This window comes from Homo sapiens, chromosome X (assembly GCF_000001405.40).
Source record: "Homo sapiens chromosome X, GRCh38.p14 Primary Assembly".
Classification (NCBI taxonomy): Eukaryota; Metazoa; Chordata; class Mammalia; order Primates; family Hominidae; genus Homo; species Homo sapiens.
Window position 1 is genome coordinate 41,380,719 of NC_000023.11, and position 9,177 is coordinate 41,389,895.

Consider the following 9,177-nt stretch of genomic DNA (forward strand, 5'->3'; position numbering starts at 1 on the left):
CCAACTGGGTGGGCAGGGCTCCTGGGAGAAACAGGCAGATGCTGCACGGGAATGAGGCCTGTGTGGGCCTCATGCTGAAGCTTCAGGGGCGGCTCGGTGTGAGTGCATTCAGGGTTCGATTCTCACCACCCCCAGTCCCTGCCTGGGCCTGGGTGAGGTTTGAGGGCTGACCCGAGGCAAGCCCAGAGCAAAGACAAGGTGCACATTGGGCTTTCCTGAGGCCTTCTCCCTCCAGTTCCAAGCCCTTTCTCAAACTGACTGTTTCCCCAGGACATGGCCCTGGGGGCGAGGCCAGAATCCCTTGTGGCCTCTTTTCTCTCTCTCTCTCTTTTTTTTTTGAGATGGAGTTTCGCTCTTGTTGCCCAGGCTGGAGTGCAATGGCGTGATCTCGGCTCACCGCATCCTCCGCCTCCCAGGTTCAAGCAATTCTCCTGCCTCAGCCTCCCCAGTAGCTGGGATTACAGGCATTTGCCACCATGCCCGGCTACTTTTGTATTTTTAGTAGAGACAGGGTTTCTCCATGTTGGTCAGGCTGGTCTTGAACTCCCGACCTCAGGTGATCTGCCCGCCCTGGCCTCCCGAAGTGCTGGAATTACAGGCGTGAGCCACCATGCCCGGCCGTTTTTTTTTTTTGAGACGGAGTCTCACTCTGTTGCCCGGGCTGGAGTGTAGTGGCGAGGTCTCGGCTCACTGCAACCTCCACCTCCCAAGTTCAAGCAATTCTGCCTCAGCCTCCCGAGTAGCTGGGATTACAGGCGCCCGCCACTACGCCCAGCTAATTTTTTGTATTTTTAGTAGAGACGGGGTTTCACCATGTTGGCTAGGCTGGTCTCAAACTCCTGACCTTGTGATTCGCCCTCCTCTGCCTCCCAAAGAGCTGGAATTACAGGCTTGAGCCACCAGGCCTGGCCTCGTGGCCTTTTTTCTTTAGGGGCGACCTGGTGGGTTCATCTGGAGCAAGGATGCCCTTCCTCACTTTGCTCAGAGCTCTGGGAAATTTCTGGGCCCTCTTAGGCAGTTCTCTTGATTCTCCCAGTCATGAACAAAGGCCCCCGTCCCCCACTGGGACTGGAACTCTTTGTTCTGGAAAGCTGAGTACTGCAGGGCAGGCCTGGGTCAGAGGCCACTGCCTGGTGTTCCCTCGGGGCAGAGTCCCCTCTAGCCACACTCTCACTGGCTTCTGAAAGAGGAAGGCTGACGAACTGGGTGACTCATCCCATTTCTGGAAAAGAGAGGATCAGGAGTTCAGATGGGCATGTTTATGACTGACGTCTGGATGAGATGACACGATAAACATAAGGGCTTAACAAAATTTAGCAAAGACTTGGGCAGCAGCCCATGAAGAAGTGTTTAGTTTTTCTATTAAAAAAAAAAAAAAGCCGGGCGCCATGGCTCACACCTGTAATCCCAGCACTTTGGGAGGCCGAGGCGGGCGGATCACGAGGTCAGGAGATCGAGACCTTCCTGGCTAACACAGTGAAACCCCGTCTCTACTAAAAATACAAAAATTAGCCGGGTGTGGTGGCGGGCGCCTGTAGTCCCAGCTACTCGGGAGGCTGAGGCAGGAGAACCGCGTGAACCCGGGAGGCTGAGCTTGCGGTGAGCAGAGATCGCGCCACTGCACTCCAGCCTGGGCGACAGAGCGAGACTCCGTCTCAAAAAAAAAAAAAAAAAAAAGCCAGCCGAGCGCAGTGGCTCACACCTGTAATCCCAGCACTTTGGGAGGACGAGGCAGGCGGATCACCTGAAGTCAGGAGTTCAAGACCAGCCTGCTGAACATGGTGAAACCCCGTCTCTACTAAAAATACAAAAATTAGCCGGGCTTGGTAGCGCGCCTATAATCCCAGCTGCTCTGGACGCTGAGGCAGGAGAATCGCTTGAACCCGGGAGGTGGAGGTTGAGGGAGCTGAGCTCATGCCATTGACCTCCAGCCTGGGTGGCAAGAGTGAAACTCTGTCTCAAAAAAAAAAAAAAAAAAAAAAGCCTTAATTCCAAAGCCACAAATGAGCCTACACCATTGGCTCATCTCAGCCTAAGAATCCAATTCCAGGAGGTAGGAGAGGGTGACCTGCGGTGGCCGAGAAGGATGTGACGGCTCTCCGAGGTGAACAACCGTTCATTCTCAATGAATAGTTTCACATGGACCCATGGACCCATTTCAGGGATTTGCTGTTCTTTAAAACACGGCAGAAAAAACCCCAAACAAAAATTCCTATGTACACCAGTCACCCCTTCTCTCTTCTGCTTTTTGGCTAACATCAGGCCAGGGACACATGGTGGCCCTAGCTCAGTCTTTGCTGGGACTTGGTGACAAGCCCAGGGACAAAGAAAACCAGTCTCTACTCTGACCTACCCCAAAGGGTGCCCATTAGGGACGGGGCAAATAAACAAGCTTTGAGATTTTTACATGGAAATCTCAAGGGACCAAGATTTCACTCACTCTGGTAAAACAAAAACAAAAACACCCTCCTTCTGTTCCCCGGAACTGAGCTTCTGAGTAACAACTGTTGGCCTCTACCCACACACACAGCTCAGTCTCTATTTGCAACAAGATCCTGGATGCTGGGCTTTGATATGAATTCTAACCCTTTGATTTCAGCACCTGTCTGTCCCTGCTGTGTTGTAAAAGTGGGGTGGGGGTGGGAAGCTATAACCACTTCTAGACAGGAAGTTATTTAGGCAAAAAAAAAAAAAAAAAAACAAACAAAAAAAACAGATGAAGCATTGCACCAAGTACAAAGGTAGCCACACCTCAGGCTGAAAGGTTCCTTCCAGAGAGATAAGATACCCGACAGCAAAAGTCACACAGCTCCATGAGATCTGGGTGAAATGGAAACTTCCTGTTTATTTTAGTCCCTTCAGCCTGGGGGTGGAGAGGGAGCAGCAGAGATGGAAGCCGTGGCTGCTACTTTTGTTAAGAATCAAAACTGCTGGATCAGTCCAGAAGATTGTGGCATCGCCTGTCCCATCAACCATGCCCTCCCGTTCCCACCAAGGACACGACAGAGATAATACCATGAGAATATATGAGTTGCCCACAACTAGCACCAGATGCTGTTGGCAGGCTCATTTTAACTTCACAGCATCCTTCTGGGGATGGGAATAGGAGGGAGTAGATACAATCGTCTTTTTTTTTTTGAGGCGGAGTCTTGCTCTGTCGCCCAGGCTGGAGTGCGGTGGCAAGATCTCGGCTCACTGCAACCTCCGCCTCCCGGGTTCAAGTGATTCTCCTGCCTCAGCCTCCCAAGTAGCTGGGATTACAGGTGCCCATCACCACGCTCGGCTAATTTTTGTATTTTTAGTAGAGACGGGGTTTCACCACGTTGGCCAGGCTGGTCTCAAACTCCCGAGCTCAGGTGATCCGATCCACCTGCCTCAGCCTCCCAAAGTGCTGGGATTACAGGAGTGAACCACTGCGTGTTTTTTTTTTTTTTTTTTTTTTTTTTTAACATATCAGAGCTGCGCTGGGGAGGGTAGGTGACGCAATCACAGTCAAGTAGGCGCTCAGAGGCTGAGTCAGGACCTGGCTTGCTCTCAGGCCCTGCCCCCACCCCAGCTACTTCCTCCTAAATATCTCTAATCGCTCAGTTTCTTGGACCTTTAGTTTTAGCACTGGGACTGCCCTGATTAATTCCTTTAGCAATGATCACACCCATAAGTACGCCATTTCCACCCTCCCCACCCTAGGGCTCTCTGGGGAAGATGACCTAGTCCAGGGCCACCCAACATCTCAGAGCAGTCCCAGGTAATTCTCAGGATGGTAGACAGGGCTTCTGAGCTCAGCACAGGGATGCTTGATGTTGTTCACACCTGTGAAGAAAGGCAGAAATACACATGCCAAAGACGTGGAGAGACTGGATCCCTCATGCATTGTGGGAGGGATTGCTAAATGTTGCAGCCGCTTTGAAAAACTCCTAGGAAAACCAGAGACCCTTGTTCACTTGTTTATCTGCTGACCTTCCCTCCACTATTGTCCTATGACCCTGCCAAATCCCCCTCTGCGAGAAACACCCAAGAATGATCAATAAATACTAAAAAAAAAAAAAGAAAAACAGTTTGGTGGTTCCTCAAAAGGTTAAACATAGAGTTACCATACGCCCCAGCAATTCCACTTTTAGTGTAAATCAAAAACTGACTGATGGCAGGCCTTCGTGGCTCACGCCTGTAATCCCAGCGCTTCGGGAGGCTGAGGCAGGCGGATCACTTGAGGCCGGCGGATCACTTGAGGCCAGGAGTTTGAGACCAGCCTGGGCAACATGGCGAAACCCCGTCTCTACTAAAAATACAAAATTAGCCGGGTGTGGTGGCTCACACCTGTAATTCCAGCTACTTGTGAGGCTGAGGCAACAGAATTCCTTGAGCCCGGGAGGCAGAGGCTGCAGTGAGCCACGATGGTGTTACTGCACTACAGCCTGCGACAGAATGAGACTCTGTCTCAAAAACAACAACAACAAACGACTGAGACAGGTTTCAACGAATTTAGAGGTTTATTTAGCCAAGGTTGAGGACATGTCTGGGGGAAAAAAAAACACAAGTCACAGTAGAATCTGTGTCCTGTGCTTTTTCCAAAGAGGGTTTGGGAACTTCAGTATTTAAAGGGGAAAGAACAGCCGGGTGTGGTGGCTCAGGCCTGTAATCCCAGCACTTTGGGAGGCCAAGGCAGGAGGATCGCTTGAGCCCAGGAGTCCAAGACCAGCCAGGGCAACTTGGCAAAACCTCCTCTCTACTAAAAATACAAAAATTGGCTGGGCATGGTGGCTCACGCCTGTAATCCCAGCACTTTGGGAGGCCGAGGAGGGTGGATCATGAGATCAGGGGTTCAAGATCAGCCTGGCCAAGATGGTGAAACCCTGTCTCTACTAAAAATACAAAAATTAGCTGGGCGTGGTGCAGACACCTGTAATCCCAGCTACTTGGGAGGCTGAGGCAGGAGAGTTGCTTGAACCTGGGGGAGGAGGTTGCAGTGAGCCAAGATGGCGCCACTGCACTCTAGCCTGGGTGACAGAGTGAGATTCTGTCTCCAAAAAAAAAAAAAAAAAAATTAGCCGGGCGTGGTGATGCATGCCTGTGGTCCCAGCTGCTCAGGAGGCTGAGGTGGGAGGATCACCTGAGCACAGGTGGTAGAGGTTGCAGTGAGCCAAGATCATGCCACTGCATTCCAGCCTGGGCATCAGAATGAGAGCCTGTCTCAAAAAAATAAATAAATAAATAAATAAAAATAAAAATAAATGAAAAATAAAGGGGAAAGGGCCAGGCGTGGTGGGTGGCTCACTCTTGTAATCCCAGCACTTTGGGAGGCCTAGGCTGGCAGATCACTTGAGGTCAGGAGTTCAAGACCAGCCTGGCCAACATGGTGATACCCCATCTCTACTAAAAATACAAAAATTAGACGGTCATGGTGGTACACGCCTGTAATTCTAGCTACTCAGGAGGCTGAGGTGCGAGAGTTGTTTGAACCTGGGAGGCAGCAGTTGCAGTGAGCCAAGATTGCACTACTGCACTCCAGCCAGGGCGACAGAGGAAGACTCCATCTCAAAAAATAATAATAACAATAAATAAATAAAAAATAAATAAAGGGGAAAGGGCAAGCAGGAGGGGAAGAAAAAAAAACAAGGTGGGTAGGCAATGAGGCACCTGGTTACATTCTTATGAGACTGTGAATCTACATTTTACATGTGAAAAGAAAGGGGAAGGGGAGGGAGTCAACTATGCATTCCTCCCCTGCTCAGTAAATCTACATTTTACATAAGGTAAAGTAAGCAAGTGAAATTACAGCTATCTGTTTGAGAATGAAAGGAAAGCAGTTTTTGCATGACTCAGTTCCCAAGCTTAACTTTCCCTTTGGCATAGTGAGTTGGAGTTCCATTTTTCTTTCACGCTAGGTATCTACCCAAGAGAAATGAGACGTATGTACGCATAAAACTCCTACACGAGTGTTCACAGCAGCATTATTCATAATAGCCCCAAATTGGAAACAACCCAATTGTCTACTGAGAAAAGAAAAATAGCTCAGAGCAGGCCCAGAGAGACATGAATAGGGACTTCAGTCATCATCTCCCCAGCCCCCACCGCATGCCTGGGGACAATTGTTTAAAGTCACTTTGTTCCTGACTAGCTGGCTCACCTATTATCTTCATGTACCTGGGATTTGTGATATAAAGACAAATTTTTACTTTAAAAATCCACTTGTAGGCCTGGCACGGTGGCTCACGCATGTAATCCCAGCAGTTTGGGAAGCCTAGGCAGGTGGATCACTTGAGGCCAGGACTTCCAGACTAACCTGGCCAAACATGGCAAAACCCCGTCTCTACTCAAAATACAAAAGTTAAAAACAAACAAACAAACAAAAGTTAGCTGGGCATGGTGGCGTGTGCCTGTAATCGCAGCTACTCAGGAGGCTGAGTCAGGAGAATCTCTTGAACCTGGGAGGGAGGTGGAGGTTGCAGTGAGCTGAGATCACGCCACTGCACTCCAGCCTGGGCAACAGAGCAAAACTTGGTCTCCAAAAAAAAAAAAAAAATCCACTTGTAACTGCTGCTAGGCAGAATGTTATGTTCAGGGCAACCTGAATCTGTGCTCTCAGATAACAATTTTAAAGCTTGGCCCAAATAAACTCTCTACGTATATTCATTTTGCCCCAGCTTCTTCCTTTTAGGTTGACACCATCAAGTGACAAATGGATAAACAAAATGTGGTATATCCAAACAGTAGAATATGATTCATCAGTGAAAAGGAATGAAGTATTGATACATGCCATAACACTGGCGAAACTTGAAGACCTGTTAGTTAAGTTTATGGATACAAAGGTCACATATTATATATTGTATGATTCCATTTATATAAAATGTCCAGAATAGGCCGGGCACAGTGGCTCACACCTATAATCCCAGCTACTTGGGAGGCTGAGGCAGGAGAATCACTTGAACCCGGGAGGTGGAGGTTGCAGTGAGCCGAGACGGTGCCATTGCACTCCAGCCTGGGAGACAGAGCTAGACTCCGTCTCAAAAAACTAAAAAGATAAATAAAAAATAAAAAACAAAAATCCAGGAGCATTGCGGCAGGGGATATGGAGCCAAAGGCCATTGCGACGACATGAAGAAAGTAGAGTTTGAGAAGGAATAGCCTGGCATTTATGGAAAAATGTCTCAGAAGCAATGACTAGCAATAAAAGGCTGATTGAGAAACTGGGGCAGGAATCCAGAAATGAAATGATGAGGGTCTAGGCCAAAGCCTTGACAGGGAACTGGAGAGAGAAGATCCAATTTACAGTCTAAAGAGGAAACTGGCACCAGATTACATGGTCACATTAGTGAACCAAACTAGGGCCCACTTGCCTGGAGCAGCAAAGCCAAACACTGACATCGGGATAGCAGCGAAAGTGAGACATTTATTGCAGGACACCAAGCCAGGAGAATTGGCCAGCTAATGCTTGAGACTGGAACTCCATGATGACTTACAGGTAAGGGTTTTTAAAGGCAAAGAGGTAGAGGTTACAGGCAAAGTCATAAATCAAGGCAGGACATCCTCAAGTCCCGGGATTGTGGGGGTGGGGGCACAGGTCGTAGGTGGATTCAGAGATTTTCTTTTTTTTTTTTTTTTTTTTTTTTTTGATACAGAGTCTCCGTCTGTTGCCCAGGCTAGAGTGCAGTGGCACGTTCTCGGCTCACTGCAACCTCCGCCTCCCGGGTTCAAGTGATTCTCGTGCCTCAACCTCCCGAGCAGCTGGGATTACAGGTCCGCGCCATCATGCCTGTCTAATTTTTGTATTTTTAGTAGAGACGGAGGTTTCACCATGTTGGCCAGGCTGGTCTCGAACTCCTGACCTCAAGTGATCTGCCCGCCTCGGCCTCCCAAAGTGCTAGGATTATAGGCGTGAGCCACCGGGCCCAGCCAGGATTCAGAGATTTTCTGATTAACGATTAGTTAAGGAGGTGAAGCTTTGTCTAAAACTTTGAGATCAACAGAAAGGAATGTTCACTCTTGCTTGTGGACATGACCTCCTCTGGGCCCCTCAAAAAGAAATTTAGAGCAGAGGTCAGAGTTCAACCTTCAGTTCCCCGTTATCTGAGGTTTACATGCCAGCTGATCCTTGTGATGGGGGCCCGAGGTTCCGAAAAACAACTCAGGGACATATATCAAGATGTTATCTTCAATTTCTTTTTTCTTTTTCTTTTCTTTTCCTTTATTTTATTTTATTTTTTATTTTATTTTTTGTGACTAGATCTTGCTCTATTACCCAGGCTGGAGTGCAGTGGCGCAATTTCGGGTCACTGCTATCTCCACCTCCGGGGCTCAAGCCATCCTCCCACCTCAGCCTCCTGAGTAGCTGGCACTACAGGCATGGGCTATGTGATCTTTCTGTGCTTTAATCTTCCCAGTTGTAAAAATTAAAGAACAGTAGTGACTACCTCCTAGGTTGTCCTGACAGTAACCGAGAAAATCCATGTGGAACAGCAGAAACACTAAGAAGAATGCAAATGTGCTTTCCTCTCTTGTATTTCCATACAGACGACCTTTTCCCTGGGCAGCCTGTAGCCATCTGCTTGGGAGCAGGGAAGGTTTTTCCAAAGTTCTTGAGCAAATTAAATATAAATCCTAAAGATCTCAGATCACAATGTCTCTTCCATGAGAGAAAGAAGATACCCCTATGCCAACCTCAGTCAAGCCGTGAGACTTGTTGCCTTTTAGTAGGAGGATATGACCTGCAGAAACTGAAAGCCCAAAAGTCGTCCCTTCCGGTTCCCAGGACTTGTAGGCAGAAACATGGAGGCAGGACCAGGAGAGGTGTGGCAGTGGGTCCCAAGGTCACTCTTCTGGGCATATGGCCAGAGAAAGGGTAGAAAGTTGGGTAAATTGAAAGAGAAACCAGAAGCCAAGGTCTCTGGCTAGATTCAAATCTGGGACCCTGAGAGGAGATTGTGTCCCACACTGCCACCCCCCCCCACCCCCCAACCTGGGGGCCACATGGAACATCTTGGAGGTGCAGGACAGAGAGAGGAGGGCGGGGGTGCTGCTGTCCAGAGTTGCCCTGTGGTACTGCGTGGCCTGGACAGAAAGTTCTGTTCTGGCTGGATTTCAGCAAAGAGGGAGTCAGGCTACAGGTAGATATTGAGGCAAAAACGTCTACTGAGCCCCTAGAAAGCTCTGCCCTGGGAAATAGAGAGAGAGTGGTGCAAG

General features: G+C 48.8%; 2 annotated features.

Moving 5' to 3' along the window:
* Window positions 1,018–1,312: an enhancer, noted in NCBI's record as "tiled region #15169; HepG2 Activating DNase unmatched - State 5:Enh, and K562 Activating DNase unmatched - State 8:EnhW". NCBI's record gives its function as "activates a minimal TATA promoter and a strong SV40 promoter by Sharpr-MPRA in HepG2 and K562 cells {active_cell/tissue: HepG2 | K562}" and the evidence as "EXISTENCE:reporter gene assay evidence [ECO:0000049][PMID:27701403]".
* Window positions 4,785–5,302: an enhancer, noted in NCBI's record as "H3K27ac hESC enhancer chrX:41244756-41245273 (GRCh37/hg19 assembly coordinates)". NCBI's record gives its function as "activates a minimal SCP1, AML or CMV promoter by ChIP-STARR-seq in primed H9 embryonic stem cells {active_cell/tissue: H9 hESC(primed)}" and the evidence as "EXISTENCE:reporter gene assay evidence [ECO:0000049][PMID:30033119]".